At 40.2% G+C, this 20,377-nt stretch overlaps 1 protein-coding gene and 1 pseudogene across 11 annotated transcripts in view, besides 1 other annotated feature; one reads left to right on the top strand and one right to left on the bottom strand.

Annotated features, from left to right (window-relative positions):
* Nucleotides 1-20,377, bottom strand: part of CREB5 (cAMP responsive element binding protein 5) — a 526,574-nt gene that overhangs the window by 208,434 nt on the left and 297,763 nt on the right. The window lies entirely within an intron of this gene.
* On the top strand, nt 1,597-2,364 carry RPS2P30 (ribosomal protein S2 pseudogene 30; annotated as a pseudogene).
* Nucleotides 4,814-6,013: an enhancer, noted in NCBI's record as "P300/CBP strongly-dependent group 1 enhancer chr7:28651065-28652264 (GRCh37/hg19 assembly coordinates)". NCBI's record gives its function as "activates an origin of replication core promoter dependent on BRD2, BRD4, P300/CBP, MED14 and CDK7 cofactors, with strong dependence on P300/CBP, by STARR-seq in HCT116 cells {active_cell/tissue: HCT116}" and the evidence as "EXISTENCE:reporter gene assay evidence [ECO:0000049][PMID:35650434]".

The following is a 20,377-nucleotide window of genomic DNA, read 5'->3' as shown; positions in this document are numbered from 1 at the left end:
GTTAATAATGAACACACCCACAGTGGAATATAAGATGCACTAAAGAGAAAGTAGGATCCATAATTCCTATTTGGAACCTGAAACTGTCCTCAAACCAGTCCTCATACTTCTGACCTGTGTGCATTCATCAGTTGCACGGGTAAAAAAGAAATGGGAAATGGGTTGAGAAGGAGGGATCACAGATCAGGTTTTCGTTTCTACAATTTCAGATCAACATTATCATATAAACAATTAATGAGCAGTCTCCAGATGTTCTAAATTGCTCTTCCCTCCCAGGGATGTTGTTAAATACTCCCTAAGCTGGCTCTGCATAGCAAACAGACTTTCCATGGGGAAAATTCCAAGTTTAGCTCTCATGTACCTGGAATCCTTCTTGTGGATGATTTTTAGAAAGACTTCCAAGAATTCCAGGATCCTTTCCTCAACTCTGTGAATTTCAGGCTGAGGCTTCAAGAATGGTACCTCCAAGTGATCCCCAAAATGTTAGTGCCTACAATGTCTACGCCTAAGCTTTATGCTTTATAGGGACTTAGATAGTACAAACACTTGTTTAAAGAATGGAGAAATAAATGAACTATTGAATTAATAAATGAAATAATGCATTTTTAGAAATAACACTTGGTATCTGTTGGTCATCAGATTGCTAAGTTTCCTAACATGGACTTGTTTTTTTAAATCATAAATGAAAATCATAAACTGTTTAAGCTGAAAGATACCTTAGTAATAAACTGTACACAATTTTTTAAGGCTGTAGCTTTATTTGTTTAAAACAAATAGAAAAAACTGCCTCTCTGGTTGGAGTGCAGATAGAAGCCTGGAGTCCACTAACTCTGAGAAATTATACAGCTTGTCCAACATCATACAGGTGCCAGAGGTTGAGTCAAGACCCTGGAGACCCCTGTTCTGGAGTTTTTCTGCTGCTCAATACCTCCCTTTATGGGTGAGGTTTTATTTCCTATAGTTGTTTCTGGGTACCCATTAGGTTAAAAAAAAAAGGCATCTCTCTGAAACCAGAATAAATGGGTCACACGCTTGAAGAAGTATTGAACTGGAATTCAGGGTAACCAAAGAGTTGATGAGGAGAAGGTTCTCTTCATAGAAGTACTCCAGCTAATAAACAAAGAATGAATGACAGAATCAGACTTCACCATTTCATAATCCCTAAAGAAATAATGGATATAGACCGTGTCAGTGACTGCCAATGGCCCAAAGAGAAAAACAAGCCAACCATTGGTGCCTCCTAATAGAAATGTGCCATACCACATGGGAAGTATTCCTGCCAAAAATTTGAACTTGACTCTAAATCAAACCTAAAAGCCCCTAATTACCAGTTTACAAGAGATACAAGAAACAGAGAAACTTATTAAACTGACACTATGGAAATGCAATCAGAATACTCAGATTGTACAAAACTCTACAGGCTGTTGCACAAATAAATTGTCAGGAAAAATGATGGAGAACTCAGATCTGTGATTTAAGAGTTTTAGAAGACATGTCAACCAATTTTAAGTATGAACCTTATTACAGTCTTGATTCTCTGAGAAAATACCAGTGACAATGACATAGTTGCTACTCCGGGGCCCTGTAATGAGAGGTCATGGCAGCTCTGTGGAGGCTTTGGCAGCTGTGTCCAGGGCCAGGGTCACGAACCTGGCCTAGACCACAGAGGCAAGGCCAAGGCCAAGGAGTGGTTCTGGGTCACCATGCGGGACTGCCTGCCCAAGGAATGAAGATCAAGGCCCTGGAGGTTAGTCATGATTTCTCCTTGCCCATTGAGGAGTCTAAAATCATTGACTTTTTCCCAGGGAGGTCCCTCAAGGATGAAGTTTTGTGGATTAAGCTCATGCAAAAGCAGACCTGTGCCAGCCAGCAGACCAGGTTCAAGGCATTTGTTACACTCAGAGACTGCATAGCCATGTCAGCCTGAGTAGCTGCTGTCATGGGCAAGGCCAACATCCTGGTTGAGCTCTCCATCACCTGTCTGCTCGAGGACACTGTGGGGAACAAGATAGGTGAGCCCTAAGTGGTCCCTTGAAAGGTGACTGGCCTCCGTGGCTCTGGCGCACCTCCTCCTGACTCCCAGAGACAATGGCATCATCTCAATCCCTGTGCCTAAGAAACTGCTGCTTAAGGCCAGTATCTATGAATGCTACATGTTGGCCAGGGGCTACACTGCCACCTAGGGCAATTTCACCACAGCCACCTCTGATGCGGTCTCCAAGACATTGAGCTATTTTACCTCCCAACCCACCTCTGGAAAGAGACCACATTAACAGAGTCTCTTATCAGGAATTCACTGACCAACTCCTAAAGACTCACACCAAAGTCTTAGTGCAGAGGACCTGGCTTCCCACTGTGGCCACCATATGGTGTTTTTACACATGAAAAATAAAGCAAAGTAATTCAAAAAATAATAAAGGACAAAAAAAGAGACATCAAGGAAATTCGAAGGGTGTTTTCAGAACATTAATATAGTATGGGTAATATTTTAGGTGGAGAAATGGTATTGTGGTTACTTTTCTTTAAAGACTACTTATCTTTTATATAGCCATGTTAAAATATGAATGAAATGCTGTGATAACTAGGATGTGCTTCGTATAACCTTGAGAGAGGCTAAAAGTGAGTAGAGACATGGATGAAACGTGATTGTAAGCTGATAATTGTTCAGGTTGGGTGATGGAGTTCATGGGATGGGGACATTAGCCTAACCTTTCTGCTTGCATAACATGTTTTAAATTTTCCATAAGAAAAAAATTAAGAAACTTTGTCCACAATTATAACAAAAGGCTGTTTTTCTAAATTCTTAAAAATTAAATTAAATCAAAAAGCTGGAAGCTAGGAAAGAATTTCACACGAAAGTAAGAGGTTTTTGGAAGTGCAAGGGGCTCTCATTAGGGGTGAGGCATAAGCAGTGTCTCAAAAAGTTTCCAGTCTGACTGAAGCCAGACTAGATCAGAACATGGAACCTATTGGTGGGGAAGGTGATGTCTCCTTGGAAAGAGCATAGTCTCACTTAGTCTTGGTCTCATCCATGTTATAAGTGACAATGGCAGCTTTGGCTCTGTATCTTTAAACTATTTATAGGACATTCTGAAACATACATTTTGCAATGTCATTAAAAGATCATCCCATAACCAAAAGATCAAATCCCAAATGGATATAGCACAAATGACTGCCATCTGAACAAGCTTTAAAATATTCTGCCTGGGTACAGTGGCTCACACCTGTAATCCCAACACTTCAGGGGGCCGAGAAGGACAGATCGCTTGGGCCCAAGTGTTTGAGACTGGCCTGAGCAACATGGTGAAACCCCACTTTATAAACATACAAAAAATTAGCTGGGTGTGGGGTTGTGTGCCTGTAGTCCCAGCAACTCAGGAGGCTGAGGTGAGAGGATCTCTTGAGGCTGGTAGTTCAAAGACCGCAGTGAGCTGTGGTTGCATCACTGCACTCCAGCCTGGGTGACAGAGTGAGACCCTATGTCAAAAAACCAAAAATTAATAAATAAGTAAAGACTGAAATGTCATTCAAATAACATCTAAGACATAACATTCCTGAAGCTGATCTAAATGTTCCAACTGGAAGAAGCCTCTCTGGACTGCAGGTTGCCCCTGAAAGGATCCACTTTCTTGCACTTTGAACTCTGACTCTAAGCCACCCTGAACCCATTTGTGAATTACCGCGGAGGCCATTTACTAAAATTGAGATTTGATGACCCAAAGAAATCAAGATTTCCACAAATGCCTACTGAGTTTGTTGGCGAGATCTGGTCCAAATATCATGAAATATCAAATACAGCAATTTTCAAACGAGACACAGGGCAGTTAATGACCAGTAATCGGTGAATGAAATCAAAGCAGAAGGAGTAGTCCCAGAGCTTATCTCTAACTTTGTCCTTCAGAAACCCAAATCTAAGGTCGCAATCATTCTTCATTCAATTCACATGAAGTCGAAATACTCTTTCATTCTGGGTGTAATCACTTGATGATTTGACACCTATGAGTCATAAGTCGTAAAGAGGATAGGCTCAAGCCGGGTGGCAATGTGTTAGGTCACAATTTAAGCCTCAGTTGTTTCACAGTCTGTTCCCACTCAGGCTTCTGCCTTCACTGCACCTGGGGCAGGATCTGGGCCCTGCCTCAGCAAGTGCCATCAGTTTCAGACCCAATATATTGCAATGAACCTTAAAAATTCTTAGACGGTCACACATTTGCAATGCGAATACTTTTCAAGGGGAAAAATATATTTTTAGTTGTTTGGCCAAAACAAGCAAAAGTGCTCAAAATGTTGAAATAGAGGGGCCCCTGCTACTTCACGAATGGTTTGCTGAGGTATAGAGGTGAAACTGCTTTCCTCTGTAGTCCCAGTAAGCAGGCACACACACGTTTATCGATTAGGACATACTACAGTGGACGTCCAATCAGATACACTAGTCCCCTGGGTAACTCCAAATTCCTGCATGAAGTTTGGCTTCTTTTCCCATAACGACTACATTTGAGGGATGAATTAAAGTGGCCAAAATTTTCAATACATCTTTGAGAAGGGATAAGTACAAAAATGCCATTAAACAATAATGGGATTTGTATGTGAAACATTATACTCTTTGAACATTTTTTAGAAAGTCACTCTTCTCTTTCCCCTTCGACTAATAACAATTCAACATTATTTAACATAATCCTACTGACAGGTAATTTCTGACACGAAATTTATTACTGGCTTGCCCTTTGAGGGCATGTTTCACTATTAATGTTTCCTTTTAAAAGCTATAGCATACATTAGATTCTCATACAGAGTTTCCCCCATGTTTTCCTTGGAAACCCCTACTTTCTGTGGTATTTTACATTACCCAAGTCTGCTTTAACTGTATCCTTACACACACACACACACACACACACACACACACACACACACACACACCCCTTCTCTAAATGGCCAGGAATACACTTAATATTGAAGGATTTTATTTCACCATTATTGGATTTACCTATAACTGAATAAACAACATCATCAGCACAGCATACATTTTTTTAAAGTGTCTCCTGTACCTAATTGAGTATGTGATTAAGTGAGCTAGAGGGCTTGAATTTACCACTATCATTCTGGGAAATGAGAGACCCACGGCTTGTAGGTGTTGCCCATATAGGACCACTGAGACCTGCAAACAGACATTCTGATTGGTGCTTCAGGCCCTTCCCCATGCAGGACATAGGAGACTATTCAGAACATATTTGTGATTCTGACTCATTCAGAGAAATGATTTTTTACCTGGTGAGTCAGCATGAAGCTAGGTATTTCCCTACCTGTGTTAACCATACAAGGTCATTGCTACCTGGAGAGCTAAGTCATCTCCCCCAGAAGGAAACACACACCATCTCTGCTTTTTCTAGAACAGCTTTCCTGGCATCATGAGCTCATAGGTTGGAGCTGACTACGTGGTGTCCTTCCTTCGCATCATCCAGATGGCTTGCTGGCTGGCAAAGTAGCAAGGGGACATGAGAAAGTATTACTTACTTTTCCTTCTTTTCTTTTCTTTGTTGCTTTAGGGAGGTCAAGTTTGTCAAGTTATAATTTACATATAGTAAAATTCACCCTTGCAACATACAGTTCTATGAGATTTGGCAAATGCATACAGCCATGTAACAACCACTGCAACCATGATATAGAACAGTTTCATCACCTCATTCCCTTTCCCCATTTGTAGTTAACCCCTTCTTCACCCCACTCCCTACCTCGCACATATATATTTTATTTATTTATTTATTTATTTATTTATTTATTTATTTATTTAGGAGACAGAGTCTCTGTCGCACAGGCTAGAGTGCAGTGGCGCAATCTCAGCTTACTGCAACCTCTGGCCTCCTGTGTTCAAGCGATTCTCATACCTCAGCTTCCTGAGCAGCTGGAATTACAGGAATTACAGGGGCACACCACCACACCCAGCTAATTTTTTTTTTTTTTTTTTTTTTTTTTTAGTAGAGATGGGGTTTCACCATGTTGGCCAGGCTGGTCTCAAACTCCTGGCCTCAAGTGATCCTCCTGCCTTGGCCTCCCAAAGTGCTGGGATTACAGGTGTGAGCCACTGTGCCCGGCCTCTACCTGGCATATGTATCTTTAAATAATATTTAGGTGACTTACAAGAGAGGCACAGATTCCTCTGCAGGTTGATTCATGAACATCTTTGTAACTTATCCTTAATACAGGGGTGCGATTTACTGGTGATGAGCTCTGGGACCTTCAATACTACCAGAAGATTGAGGACATATCAGGGGAGACCTGTTGCCTCACTTTTGTCCCAATGTATGACCTGTTTCCACAGAGAAACATGCAGGAGAAATTGCACAGGTAAATTCTTAACTTCCTAACTCTTCCTGTAAGTTTAAGAGGAAGACATATTTCCTCTCTAAGTATAAGGGAAAGACAGTTCTCTTAAATGTCTCACCTCAACCAAATTCCAATAGGGAAAAGCTGGGGACTCACACACACACCCCCCTACCTTGGCCCATGCCTCTCCTCCCACAGACAGCCATACATAAACGACTCCCTCTCTCTCTCACACACACACACACACACACGCACACACACGCAAACCAAAGAACAAAAAACAAAACAAAACAAAAAGAAGCAACACAAAAATTGCCAAGACAATCTATTCTCTATGGATTCTCTATGGTGGTCATTAACTTTCCAAGGCCACTTCCTGGACCTTCCAGGCCCAGAACTGTGCAGAGATCAGTGATGAAAATCCTCCATTCCAAGAAAGTGAACCTTACCTGAGGTCCCTGAGCATTAGGGAAGAGTTAAATTTTTAGGTTACTGGGCCATTAGCAGCTCAGCCATCCATTTTTCATTTGAAGAAACCTTTTTAAAGGTTGAATTCTTATCTTCGGGAAGCCTGTCAATGCAGTTCTTGTGTTTTCATTGGGTTTATTTAGCCTGGGGGATTTAGGTCCCTCTGTTTAGGCAGTAAATTTTCCCCTTTGCGTGAATGTATGCGGTGAATATACTTAAAAATCCATCAGGCCAGGCTGACAAAAATGTAGCTGCCTTTACACAGCAGTATTTGGCAAGTATATAGTCACTCAGGATGGTTGTGTGGTGCTTATAATTGAATTGTGGTCACTAAGCCCAATGCTATCAACTTCTGTAAAAACCCAAAGCTCAGATACCTCTGAGCACACCTTTCACCGCCTTCCCTCTGGCCCCTCCCCTTGCTTCCAGCTCCCCACTGTTCACCCAGCTGGCAGAGGGGGATGCAGAAAGAACCCCAAGATGAACAGGAGACATCCCTGTAGCTCTGAACATATACCATAAAAGCTGTACCCCAGGGCCCAGAAGGACAGAACGGAAGACCTAACAGCATGAGTTACAATGCTTGAGAAGCCAGGGAAGGAGAAGCTCTTCAGAAAAGAAAAGCTACAAAGTCTGCCTTAAGAGGCCCTGGAAGGCTTCCAATTCTTGGTTGAGAACCATGCTGACATTTAGCCATTTGAACCAATGTTGTCTGGCACTCAGGGCACAGATTCCAGGCCCCTCAAAGTCCTCCTCACAATAGTAACTCACACAATCTGTGGCCTGCTAGCTAACCTTTTCTCCTTCCTCTTCTGACCCCATGTGTCCACCTCTCTAACATCATCCTCCACGGCACTTGTGCCAGAGTCCTGTCAACCACAGGCGAGTGTGCTCAACAGCTGTGGGCTCCCAGCAGACAAGTACACGACCTTTGCAGCTCAGTATCCACTCTTCCCTGCAAGAGACCAAACTACCTCCATGCACCTGGTGCATCAAACTCAACAAGGTAGACTTGGGTCCTGTCAGATTTGAACCAAAAGGAAAAGCCAGCTCATTGAACAGAAATGCAGGAAGACAGAAAAAGAAAATTTTTTCATACAGTTGTCTTTAAGCTGAAGACAAAATCAAATCAAAATAAAAATACATGCAAGAGGATTGTTCTATTTTAAAACTACCTTTTATCATCAGGCTAAGGGATAGCAAAATATTTTCTATCCATTCCAGGGATGACATTCACTTAACAAATATTATTCTTAACAGGCATTTGTTAAATGTAACATTAGTACTAGGGCCCCAGTAAGCCCGGAAGCAGGTAAGGTCAGGGCTCAGAAATTCAACAAGACAAAGAACTTAGGCAGCCCAGCACTGTCCAAAGCAATGGACAGACTGCCCCACAGACATAGGACCCCAAAGAAACTAAGCCATGTCTAAAATGCATGTCAGAGAAGCACACGTTTCTCAAAAAGTAATTTAACATACAACTTACTATTCAAGATCTACATATTAATTCAAATTATTGTTGCTTACCACTAATAGTGACTACATACCTACCTCAGGTCTGCATTTTTAGAAAAATGTATCTGCAAGGCTATTTAAAGCTGTACTTCTGTCATCCTGCCTTAGATGGTAAGCTCCAAGAGGAGTTCTTTGACTTTCTTATTACAACTACAGATATACCGTGATATACAAGCAGGTCATAGATCACGAATGAACACTGATGACTAATCGCTACTGGTTAATATTTATGCCAACAATTGCAAAATCTCCCTGTTAAATTAAGATAATTTAAGAAGAAATGTCATGATCCTCTTCTTCTCTTATTTGAGCCAGACAATACTTAGCCTTACACAAAACCAACAGTCCCTATCATTAGCCTTTATTGGCCTAAGGATTATTCATATATCAACACATGTCAACCATCAAGTTGGCCATGTCTGAGGAACTTCAGTGTCCTGGTTTTGTATGGTAATGATTTCTGAAGGAGTAAATGATGAAGTCTGATTTTTAAAATAGTTTTAAAGTTACTGATGTAAGTCCTTATGCCTTGGACTTTAGCCTGTTCAATGTGCTGTGCTGGTGGGGAGGGAGATTGGGAGGAGGGTGGAAGGGTGGGAGCCAGGGAGGCAGGGAGACTGGGACTGAATAATATGAAGTTTCAGAGCATCATCCTTAACAACCAAATTCTGCTGGCTCTGACCACAGGCTCATTAACAGTTTCAACTACGTACTGTTTCCCCTTTAACAACTCAATTTTCTCCCATCTGTTTAAAAACAAAACAAAACAGAATTCCCAAAAGGATCTTTCTGGTATTTTACTGCTGAAGTCCTTTATTTACCTATTACACCCCTCACCCCTACCCCTATCAAAAACTCACAACCAAAAGAAAAGTGAAAAGAACATGGGAAAATATGAAACCTGTGGATACATATCAGGGGGAAAAAGTCTTGGTCCTGCCTTCTCCTTTAGGAGTAAGGAAAGACACAAACCAAAATGAAGGGCAAAGAAAGTTTGAGAGTGTGTGTGTGTGTGTGTGTGTGTGTGTGTGTGAGTGTGTGTGAGAGAGAGAGAGAGAGAGACAGAGAGAGAGGCATGGGTGTGAAATCTGTATGGTATAAGGGGAAGTCATATAAGATCTCTCAGTGCCCTGATGCCACGATTAATAAACCAAGCTCACAGCCAATGACATTACCCAGGAAACACCATGTACGGCGCTGTTCAGTGTTTGTTTCGAAGGGCAAAGTCTGGAGGAAAACAGAGAAAGCCAGAGGGAGGAAGAGAAATTCTGTTTAACTCTTCTACTGTGAGCCTTAAAAGCAAGCCAACTCCCAAGGCTGGCTTTGTTAGAATACTATCTTTCCAAGTATGCACATGGTAAAACACACACACACACACACACACACACACACACACACACACACACACACACACACACACAGCCCTGTGGGCACTGGTCTTATTTTGGGTAAGAGTCAATGTTCTTTATCATTTTGTGGTTCAACAGATAAAACGACATTAAACCACTTTCCTTCCAATGCACTACACTTCCAGAGTTTGGTGCTGGAACCACTGAGCATTGTGTACTTCATTTAAACTCTGAAATACTACCTGGTTTAATGTTTTTCAAATCCATAAGGCAAATGGTGAAACACACACCTTTCTCCTATGGCAGCAAAGTGAACCCAGCTTGTTATTATGGATTGGATCCTCCTGTCAATGAGCACGCTCCAGATGTATTTGCACGTTCCAGTGCCTGGAAGGCCTCATTCCGCCCCCAGTGAGTGTATGCAAACACTCATTCACGCCCACTCAAGGGATACTCTGTGCAACAGCTTTCCTCTTCCTATTTCTCCTTGCATTCAGTCTTGGGGCCTCACATTGTACACATTTCTCGGTTAGTTTTATCCACAAGCTCAGATTTCTTGAATATTAATTAAAAGGTTGCCAATCAGCTACACTCTCTGTAAAATAGGTCTAAAAAGATGAGCAGAAAATTACAACTTTTAGTTGATCTCATAGAAGTAAGAAGTAGAAGAGAGGATACTGAGTCTGGGAAGGGCAGGGAGAAGGGAAGGATAGGGAGAGATTTGTTGAAGGATACAAATTTACAGCCAGATAGGAGGAATAGGTTCTAGTGTTCTATACCAGTGTAAGATGATGAGAGTTAGCAATAAAATATAGTTTCAAATAGCTGGAAGGAGGATATTGAATGTTCCCAACACAAAGAAATGATAAATATTTGAGATGATGAATATGCTAATTCCCCTCTCCGATCACTACACCTTATATATATTCAAACATCACTATGTACCCTATGAATATGTAAAATTACATGTCAATTAAAAATTAAATTTCAAAATATGACCACAACTTTCATATTTGTCTCAGAAGCCTAACTAGAGAAATCATAACCTAGCTTTTCAAAAGGATCACTCATTTTGTCACCAGATAAACTTATATCTGTTTCTGACAATCTTGTATGAGTAACATAAGATGGTCTCCCTGAGCCAATTAAAAAGAAAAGAGGAAAAGGGGCATATAGATAAAAAAGCCATGCTGCAACAGAATTTGCAGGGGCTAAGTAGGAATCAGTTCTGATAAGAGCCTTTTATAACTGAGAGGCAGAGGGAAGATGGGCATGAGCCACTTCTGACTGCTGAGGGCCCTATTCCCAGGGATGGATGACTGTTCTCACACAAAGGCTGGACAAACACACCAGAAATATCTGCCAGGAGGCTCATATGAAGGTGTGATTTGAATCAAGAGGATGTGGGGGTAACTCATCAGGTAATTATTCACACTTTTTAATAAGTAGGACAGCAATAAAATTGTAAAATTGTAAATAAATTTTTGTAAAGTAAAAAATTAATAATTCTACCCACAAGCATGAATATATCTTGAAGAACAGAATGCAAACAACTCTAGTTAAGTAGGAAAAATCTTTCTTGGTGAGACAAGTTGTTTTTCAGTGGTATTTCATGGACATTTTAATCTTATGAAATGTGAAAAGTGGTGGTTGCTATCAAAATGTTACCACAACCATTTTCTCTGTATTGAGGGCAAGATCAAAGGACAATTAGAGAGCTGGTAGTAATGCTTTCCCAATCTTATTCTAATTGCAATTTTTAAAAAATCAACTTTATTGAGATAAAATTGCATATAGTGAAATTTATCCACGTCAAGTGTTCAGTCGTTGAGTTTTAGCAAACGTATACGCCCATGAAACCACCAGCATGATAAAAATATAAGACATTTTTGTCACCTCAAAAAATTCTCTCCTGCCTTTTGGCAGCCAGTCCCCCTTCCCAGGCTCAACTGATCTGCCTCTGTCACTAGAAAACATTTTGCCTGTTCTAGGGTTTCATGTCAGTGGAATCAAGGACCGAAGCACTCTTGTGTCTGGCTTGTCTGATCTCAATTTTGTGAAACCCCTCATTTTGTTCAAAGCACTGTGCCCCTCACTTCTTTGTCTCATGGGCAGGAAATCAACTTCAACTCTGATAACAAGACCAGAGATGGACGAGTGCCATTTTTGAGAAAGTTGTTAAAATAGCAGGAAACAAGGAGCAGGAAGCAGTGAAGGTCAGCTCCAGTTCATTTCCTCCTGGAGTATTAATTTTAGCGCATTGTTTGGGTTTCCCCAAAAAGATATTTTTGAAATAAGGGAATTCCATGCATGAAGGCCAAAAATAGAAAAATAGGAAGACTGGATACTCTTTTCCACACAGTCCTGAAGTGTCATGTCTTTGACAAAACAAATGAGAGATAAATGCTTGGTGATGGAATCAGAGGAGAAGGTGGGTCTTCTCACAATATCTAGATGGATTCAGGCAAAATACAAAAGTAGAAAGCAATTACGAGCTGTTTTTGAATCTATCAACATTGCTCTCACTTAAAGTAAAAATTTCCAATGTTTACAAATTAGTAGTTTACCTACCACCACGTCCACCAAATATGAATACTTTCTTTTTCTTGTCAGAACCAGGCAAAGGTATCCAGTTCTTTATAGACATGGTCTTCTCTACGTAAGTCATTTCAGTGTTACAAGAACCCAAATTATCAAAATTTTTAGGCTCTTGTTCCTTCATGTCCTTCAATACCTTCCTGTGCAATGTTATCTCTTTTTTTTAATGAGAAAGGGCATAAATTTTTCTGTATCCTACGCCCTTATATAAACCATCAAGTTCTGGGTTCTAGTTTCCATCAAGCTGCTGTCACATAGTGACTGGAAGAGAATATATTAATTCTCCCAGGTCCCTGGGGTAGGATGCAAATACTAAATCATTTACATCTTTTTAAAAATAAAACAAAGGAAAAACTTAGTTTAAAAACACTTTATTTAAGAGTAATGTTTGTCATTAAAAACCTTTCTACATCAATTAAAATAATTTTGGCCCCAATGATAGGGCTATTTTGATCTATAGTATCATAATGGACAAAAAAAATCTTGGACAAGAAACAGAAAACAATCAACATGATATACATCAAGAAGAAATACAGAGAGGGCTGTGCTCATGACTTTTATTATCTTATTATTTTATTTTATTATTTAATATTTATTATTTTATTATTTACTGAGAAATTATCTATTGGGTTCTTGCCCTAGGTAGAGAAGTTCCTCAATTGGATACATTATCTGACCAATGAAAGAAGCAAGGAGTAGGTTAATCCAACCACTGGAATATAAGTGGTTATTTAGAAGAAGAAAGTTTTGATTCTTCTGAATGAAATGTTTGCACCAAGCACTATTTAGTAGGCAGTGTTGCCTCTTATTATCTAGCTCTATAAGAAAATGGTTATTATTAATCTTTCATCCACAGAAGTATATGATGGCAGAAAATAAACCCAAATCTCACCATAAGCATAGATTCCCTCAGATATCTATATCCAATATGAAAAAGAAATGGAATTTATCACATTTTTTTAGTATCAAGTGTGCAGAGGTGGTGAGATCTAGTCAAAAGGGCACCAAAGCCAATACTTCACAAATAGTTCTTGATTCCTCATTTCCTGTGGTGGTGACCTTGAATAAGTCATGATCCTTCTAATTTTCTTTTTTTCCCTTTATTTGTTAAAAGAAATCCTGTCTTACCTGGATTTTGAAAAAACTAGAAGATGCACATGAACTGGTTTGAAAACTTTCAAGTGTCACACAGATGCGGAGGATGGTGTCCTTTTACGCACCCCATCCTGCTAAATACTATATGCTACATGTATTCTTACATAAGCACTGCCCTTAAACTTGTGAAACAACCCAGCTCTCAGCCACAGATCCCTTGAGGACACATTTCTCCTCACATCAGCAATGGTTACACCTCTGTGAATACTTTTATGTTACCTAAAGACTCCTAAATCCACAGCAAAACTTCCACACTGTTTTCTAAACTAAAAGCACCACTGGCTATAACTTACCAACCAACTAACGGACTAAGTAACGAACTAAAGCGTAGGGGTATAAAGCTTACCAGGTTTTGAACCACAATGAGGAAAATAAATTCAAATCCAAAATGTGGACAATGTGTATGACACATTCAGATTGTACTCATTGCTCATTAGCAGCCACTGTCAACAAAGACCTCCTTTGAGACAACTTCCACCTGGTTGGGATGTCCAAGTTGTGCACAGCCTGCTAAATGTATTCACCTCTTTGTTCTGCATCTGGTTGAGATAGGAAGGTTACAGGAATAGTGATGGGGAGCTGGTACGACATGGAACAAAGATTCAGATGAGTGACTGCCCAATTTTACTTTCAATGTGATCAAAAGGCCTCAACAAATAGGCCGTGATCAAAACAAACATACCAGATCATGTTGGCTAAGTTCTCAAAGGCTGTGGGAAAAATGATTCTGCATGTTTTTTTAGATTTCATTCAATTATACATAAAGTTTTCTACCGTTGAATACTCATCTGGTAGCAGTGGAGTATACTGAATTTATAAATTTGGGGATAGGATGCAGTTGCTGACCTTTGGATGCTCACATTCAAAGAGCAGTCAGCCAATTAGGCCATCTTTTGAGTGATTATCATGAGTGCCTGTAAGGGAATTACCTTATTTTGTCATGGTAGGATTGTGGAAATCAACCAAGTTAAAACTCAAATTAGAAATAAACAAATCCTTAATTCTTGTAACTTTTTATTTGGAGAAAATTATAGATTTACAGGAGGCTGCAAAAAAGTGTACAAGGAGGTTGGGTGTTCCCCTCACCCAGTTTCCTCCAATGGTAACATCTTGCATAATTAGAGTACAAGATCAAAACCAGAAAATTGACAGTGGTACCATCCACAGAGTTTATTCAGATTTCACCGATTTTACATGCAGTTTTGTGAGTGTGTATATTTAGTTCTGTGAAATTTTATCACAGGTGTAAATTTGTGTAGCCATGACCAAATCAAGACACAAAACTGTTCCATCACCACAAGGATTCCTCATGATACCCCATAGATTCAACTCCAGCCTCTCTACCCAAACCTAATTCCTGATAACCACTAATCTGCTCTCCATCTCTATAATCTTGTCATTTCAAGAATGTTATATAAATGAAATCATATAGCATATAATCTTTTGAGATTGGCTTTTTCCATTAAGTATAATTCCTCTGAGGTCCATACAAGTTATCATATATATCAATTGTTTGTTACTTTTCATTGCTGAATAATATTCCATGACATGAATATACCACAGTTTGGTTAAATATGAATGTACCACACTTTGGTTAACCATTCACCCACTGAAGGACATTTGCAAACACCTTTATTTTAAAATAGTCCACTGTAATCCCAGCACTTTGGGAGGCCGAGGTGGACAGATCACCTGAGGTCAGGAGTTTGAGACCAGCCTGGCCAACATGGCGAAACCCTGGCTCTACTATAAGTACAAAAATTAGCCGGGTGTGGTGGTGTACACCTGTAATCCCAGCTACTTGGGAAGCTGAGGCAGGAGAATCACTTGAAAGCAAGAGGCAGAGGTTGCAGTGAGCCGAGATCGCACCAGTGCACTCCAGCCTGGGCGACAGAGTGAGACCATTTCAAAAATAAATAAATAAATAAATAAAATAGCCCAAATTTGTGAATTCTGACACAGATTAAATTAGTAGTATATATTTAAAAAGATTGCCCTTATGCAGGAAAATATACCACACCATAATGTATTCAGAAATTAATTGTATAAAAATATACATTCACTTTATGTCTTTCATGTGAAGTTCCTAAGAATATGTCTTAATCTTATTGTACTTAGAAAAACCTCTAGCAAAAGCTTTCTGTCCAAACATACTTTTTTTGTCCTAGATTTTTATTCAGTAACCTAACTATAGTAATGCTTCAATGGCTTCCACAGAATCCAGAATTTTAAAATGTATCTATTTTTTCCAGATAGAAGAACTGAATTAACAATCTCCAAGACTGCTGAGTGGTTTTGATCTGCCTTGCTTACTTTTTCAGCCACTTTATATGCTGAAATGTTTCCAGTGCAACCAGAAGTTTCAAGTGTAAAATTCTGTCTTTCCTCTTCTGTTATTTTAAGCTTTTAAGACACCATACATAAAAGCAAATAAATGACGAGCCCTTGCCATGTGCCCAATAATTGTGGGTTAACTCCTCTACACATTACAAATATCTTTTGAAATTGCCTCTATTATTATTTCCATTTCACAGATGAGGAAACTGAGGCCCATAGGGGTTGAGGTACCTTTTCTCTGGTCATGCCTACATCCAGCAGATGGTGTGTTCGGGATTCAAACCTGAGGGGCTGCTTCTAGAGCTCATGCCCTTAACACTGCACGACCTCTACCTTGCCAACTACAAAAAATCCATCCCTGCAAATGCCTTTTTCATTTCCAACTTATTCCTCCCTTCTTTGTCCCCAAATACTCTTGCCTTTATGGATTTTTGCTTCTCGTTATCTTCCATGTCTGTAGAACAAATCCCCTTTTCCACCACCACCCCACACTAAAATAGATTCTACTGAGGCTAACTATGTGGAGCCCCCCTTTCCAAAAAAAAAAATAATAATAATAAGGGAAATGAAGGAAGGTCCAACTTTCTCCCAAGATGAAGACCAACATGGTGATGATTTGGAGAGAGATAATCCATTCTTGAGAATTTTACATACTCCTTTCCTTTGGTCCTTTTGCTCTCTCATTTTTTAATTGAATGCCCCCAACTAGAAAGTGGACAGAGAAAAAAAAGAAAAATACATGAAACTCATATTGGTTGACATGATCCTTTACGAAAATCTTAGGGGGGCAGGGAAGCCAAAGAGGCTGTCACAACTCTTGGCTGAAAGTGTTCATCTGGGGTTAGCTATTTATTTCCCTGAATAGTGACTGAGTCCCACAACTCCTCTAGGAATAAACACATATTTAAAGACCCTAGGATATGTATTTAAATGTTAAACTTACTTTTTCATAGCTCCAGTCCCTGCTCCCTCATATCTTTGGCTTTGACACAATGTGGATAGTGCTAGGGGTACAATTATTTCACATTTTAACTTTTATTTGTAATAGAATATAAATAAACTGAAAATGTTGCTTTTGCCTCACTCCAAATCTTGCTGCAAACGAAAATCTTCAGAAGTCTGTCTGGCCTGCATAATTTTTACCTCTTCCATGAATAGCGCATTAGCCAGCCCCTCCTCCTCATCATCCCCTCCCTACCATCCTCAGTTTTCACATAATTAAATTAAACAAATATTAGCATTTGCCTGCTACAGCGAGTTTTCTCCCAAAAAGGATCCTCAGGAAAGCCATGCTAAAAAGACTCTGCATGTAAGAATTGCTCATCAGGTTCACTGAGCTTCGTGAGGCTGGTCTGCTCTGATTAAATTTAGGTCTTGCGCCTGCGAGTTTAGCTGGACACGGGAGGAGATGTCAGGACAGTCGATGGTTTTTGCACCCATTCTCCATTTCCTACTCAGCAATTCCTCCATTCAAATAGCATTTTCCCTTCAATCCACCAAGGCACATCAGGGAGCTCAAGGAGAGGTAAGTGTAAAAGAAGAGAGGCTGTGAGGACCATGGAGAAAGGAAGATCCAGGGACACAGGTATGTAAAGGGTGGGGGTACTGAATTGAAGGTGGGAAGAAAGGCGGTGGGGAAGCAGGAATCCCCACAATCTAAGTGCTGCTGTCCACCCTCACCACACTCCCACTCCTACACCCAGAGTTCTTCACCCTCTCAACGTCACCATGATTGCTTTTAATAACTCAATTATTGATCCCCTGTGGTCTTTATAAGAAGCAGAAATTAAGCCATAGGTGACACTGCCATAGATGCAGGTCACATCACAAAAGGGTGGACAATAGTATCCTAAAGATCACTGTGTAACAATTCTCATATCCTGCCTGTCCCTGACTTCTTAGATTGTGTAAAAGGACAACGTGATGATGAGAGGATGCGGTTCTAACTAATACAATAAAAAAACAAAACAAAACAAAACAAAACAAAACAAAACACCTGGGTCTCCCTGGAACTTTCAGGACTAAAGTTACTCATTCATCAGATAGAAATAGGTGTTGGAATTTTACTAATTTGCAGCAGTGCAGAGCTATGCGTGTCTTTATTATACACATAGGGGCGCATGGTTTCCGGAGGCTATGCTGTGAAATGGGGCATCTGTCTTGCCCAGATGAAGTGTCTGCAAAGGACCTTCTGTATACAGTGTTTCCCACCTCCACCCCCATACAGTCCCACTTTACTATTAGACCAAAGTGCCTGCAACTATCTTATGAAACTATTAGGTATTTCCAGACACTCTCATGGATGGAAGTTTAATCTGTGGGTAAGGATAAAATCCAAGTATATGTATTTATGGGCTTATTTTCCCATCTTTTATAATTAGCATTATTTCAGGAAGAAAATCCCAAATAAAATCTGGCAATACAACATGTTCATTACAATCTCTTGCTCTCTCTCTCTTTCACATTTATATATGTTATAGATATATAATATATATATCCTGTATATATGTCAAATCAACTTAAACTTTGAGAGGCTTAAGCTATAATAATTTAGTTCAAAGCTGGAACTTCAATCACATCCTACAGATCAAATTACCAACACGATTGGAAGAAAAGGGAGTGTTTTTAATCTCATGTAATTTACTATACAAAGGCAAACATCTTTTTCTTACAGAACATTTTTTTGCTGAAATCTGTCAGCCAGCAAAACAGGATGAGAGCTGAAGTTCTGTATCAGAACATACTGAGTTGGGAAAGCAATGAGTTTCATTTTGCCTGTTGCAAGTCACTTAAGACAGCAAAGAAAAAGCAAGGTGTCCCTTGTTTAAAAATGAAAGCTTTTTAAAATACACCACAGCACAGAAGTAATTCTGCCTTACTTTAAACATAGACTCCCCCGCGTCCATCCCCCTAAACTCTGTAGGGAAAAGTTACCAGCTCTACCTATGCCGCTCTTCTTAACATCAGGTCACCTCACAGAATGTAAATTGAGCCAGGCCAACTCAACAGAGGGATAAAATAATGATGGATAGAGTGAGGCAAAGATGGAGTTTGGCACACAAGATGTTCAGTCACTAGTTCTAGGTTGGGGTGAGTGATATTACAATAGCTTAATGGACTCACCAGTGCTAATTAACCTGGGACACAAGGAATGACCCAATGCATCATGAAAAGCTGCTATAATTCTTCAAGCAAGTCTAACGATCATAGAAATAATCCACAGGCCAAGTGTCCAAAGATGCTTGATGGCAGCTTTAAAAACACCCCACCACACACAAAAGACCCTCCCAGCCCTCGGAATGGTTGCTCATCCCTTTCACACATTGTAGTAGTCCATTTTCATGCTGCTGATAAAGACATACTCAAGACTGGGAAGAAAAAGAGGTTTAATTGGACTTACAGTTCCACCTGGCTGGGGATCATGGCGGAAGGTGAAAAAGCACTTCTTGCATGGTGGCAGCAAGAGAAAAATGAGGAAGAAGCAAAAGCGGAAACCCCTGACAAACCCATCAGATCTCGTGAGACTTATTCACTATCACGAGAATAGCACAGGAAAGACCAGCTCCCATGATTCAATTACTTCCTCCTGGGTCCCTCCCACAACATGTGGGAATTCTGGGAGAAACAATTCAAGTTGAGATTTGGGCAGGGACACAGCCAAACCATATCACATGTCTTCTCTTACATGTGCCAAGTTCATAAATACATCCTAGTTCTAGCTCTCTTCCTTGCCTTTTCCTTTTGAGGGAAATCAACATTAGCTTGCCAAATATATACATATATATTTCTAGGTCCATTTTCTACCTTCTCAGAATTCAAATGTAGTGACCATGTATTGTCTCTTTTCCCTGTGGCAGGAAAAGGTCTGATGACAAATGTTCCTCTACTCCTGTTTTGTTCTCCCATGCTTTGGAGACCATCCTGGTCCCCACTTCGAGAGGGAATCCTCTCCAAGTGAACCCAGAAAGATTCAGCTAAGCTGTGGCTCATCAGGGGCCCAAAGTCAGGAGACTGGGGAGGCTCTAGAGTTGAGAGAGAGGTTGATGTCATTCTAGGATGAGACAAAGAGGATCAATCATTAATTCCACCTCAATCTGGTCCAACACCAAATTAAAAGAAACATCCATACTGACCTTGGACTCCTCCCAGGATTATTTGCATGAAATATGACTTGCATCTAAACCAGACCCTCCAGATCACTGTTTATCTTTCCTGATCTGGAATCAAGTCCCTCCAAACATTCCCCAAGGGCACTGTTAGCACGTTTTATTGGTGGAGAGTGCACTGGAAATGACATCTTTTTCAGGGTCCCCAGTGGACAGCTGAAAACAACTGTGGCAGAATAAGTGAGACCAAGACCAGGAGATCAGCTTTCCATTTGCAAAGAGGTGTGCTCTTCTCTTGTGTCGCTCCTGAGAGGATGGCTGCTCCTGGTGGCTAAATGGCTATGCCTCATCAGAGAGCAATAACAGAGGATCAAATGCAAGGCCTTATGCAACTCACATTTTTATCCAACTCTTGGGTTCCAGGATTGTTCTGTCAACCTGCATTTTGTAGCAGGGAAAAGAAAAGAACTGCACTGCTTATCCTGCCAAGGAGATAATGGAACCAATATATAACAGGACTAGTAATTT

The sequence above is a fragment of the Homo sapiens genome, chromosome 7 (assembly GCF_000001405.40).
Source record: "Homo sapiens chromosome 7, GRCh38.p14 Primary Assembly".
Lineage (NCBI taxonomy): Eukaryota > Metazoa > Chordata > Mammalia > Primates > Hominidae > Homo > Homo sapiens.
This window is presented reverse-complemented; position numbering and strand designations above follow the sequence as displayed.